General features: G+C 38.7%; 1 protein-coding gene across 1 annotated transcript; it reads right to left on the reverse strand.

Moving 5' to 3' along the window:
- Positions 1 to 321: 321 nt before the first annotated feature.
- On the reverse strand, positions 322 to 1,872 carry LOC107984126 (zinc finger protein 658B-like; the record flags this gene model as incomplete). Its single annotated transcript, XM_017015387.1, has 1 exon — positions 322 to 1,872. A coding segment is annotated over one exon (642 nt), but the record flags the coding sequence as incomplete, so codon positions are not given.
- Between the last annotated feature and the right edge of the window lie 2 nt (positions 1,873 to 1,874).

A 1,874-nucleotide genomic window follows, 5' to 3' on the forward strand; every position in this document is an offset into this window, starting at 1 on the left:
CAAACAAAAAGTATATAAGAATCACCCTGTCCTCCCTGGCGCCCCCCTCCAAACACACAAACACACAAGGTGACTGGGGAAATCTCAGCTATCTCCAAGGTCCTAGAAGAATAGGCAAGACTAGTTTTAGGACAAGACTAATTAATATCCAGACATAGCAGGCAGGCCAAAATCTAACAGCATTGAGGGAAGCCAACAGAGGACACAGTCACTCAGAAAAGGAAGTGGACATGCCCAGTGCAGGTTTGGCTGTTAGCACCCACTAGAACTCACCAGTGAGTTACAACGTTTATATACAGACTAAAAGATCTTCCACAGAGCTCAAACTATTCACATTTATTCATATTCTCCACAGAATTCAAATTATTCCATTTTTAACTTCACATTCTACAGTGAGTTTTTCTATAGGTAAATATTTTCTTATATATGTTCTATAAAATTTTTGATATTACAAAACAGAAGCTTGGTACATCAGTTCTAGGTGAATATTTTATCTCCAATTCTAAAACTGACATATTTCCTCAGAAAAAAATACCTAGGAAAAATGTCATTTATTCAAAATATGAAATTTTATTATAATTGATGTTTAATGCAATTCACTTTACGAAGGTTTTTGTGGTTTTCCCTAAAATTTCTGTTTTAATGAAGGCTCCTGATCATCCTGGATGTCAACAAGTTTTCTTCTTCATGTGACGTCTCTGATGCACAATAAACTGATTAGTTTTTCTAAAACTGATTATATTCATAGGGTTTCATCTCACTCTAACATAAAGTTTAAGCTAAACTACGTCCATTTAACTAATAAGCCAAATTTGTAAGAGCTTAACAGACTATAAACTTAACTCTTGCTTTAAAGCAACAAAAACAAAACCCTGATGAAGACCTGGAAGTGAATTGTTCGTTTTTCAGACTCTAGCTTCCTTGACCTTGTGCTTTATGGTTTTGAACACACAGGACCCAAGTTTGCTGCAGAAATAACCTCCAAATCCATATTATGAACCAGGAAGACTGTGAGGGTTTTTCTTTTTTTTTTTTAAGGGCCAAGAGTAAATGTAATATATATCATTAGCACCATATCCCATGGTCAGCCCCACCTGAATAAACGGCATATTGGGATTTTTCCACAAACTATGAGCCTAATGAAAAAGGAAATGGATAAGGGAAACAAGTTCCCAGCCTATGTCACATGAGTTTCTGCACTACGTGTTATGTGGTAAGGTATGCATTCCCTCAGGACTTCCCAAATCCATTACATGCTAGGGTTTTCTCTCTGGTATGCATTCTGGTGTGATGTACCCTAAGAGCTGCCTTACGGACAAAAGTTTTCCCACATTCATCACATTCATAGGGTTTCTCCCCTGTGTGAATTCTCTGGTGTACTCTGAGAGTTGAATTTTGGGCAAAAGCTTTCCCGCATTCATTACACTCATAGGGTTTCTCCCCTGTGTGAATTCTCTGGTGTGCACTAAGGTGTGATTTCTGGGAGAACGTTTTCCCACAATCATTACATTCATAGGATTTCTCCCCTGTGTGAATTCTTTGATGTACTCTGAGGGTTGAATTATGGGCAAATGGCTTCCCACATACATTACATTCATAGGGTTTCTCCCCCGTATGAACTCTCTGATGTGCACTAACATATGACTTCTCAGAGAAGGTTTTCCCACATTCACTGCATTCATAGGGCTTCTCCCCTGAGCGAGTTCTAAGATGTGCTCTGAGATGTGATGTCTTGGAGAAAGTCTTCCCACAGTCATTACATTCATAGGGTTTCTCCCCTGTGTGAATTCTGTGATGTGCCCTGAGGGCTGAATTATCAGCAAACGTTTTCCCACATTCATTACACTCATAGGGTTTTTCCCCAGTATGAATTC

Source organism: Homo sapiens, chromosome 9 (assembly GCF_000001405.40).
Source record: "Homo sapiens chromosome 9, GRCh38.p14 Primary Assembly".
Classification (NCBI taxonomy): domain Eukaryota; kingdom Metazoa; phylum Chordata; class Mammalia; order Primates; family Hominidae; genus Homo; species Homo sapiens.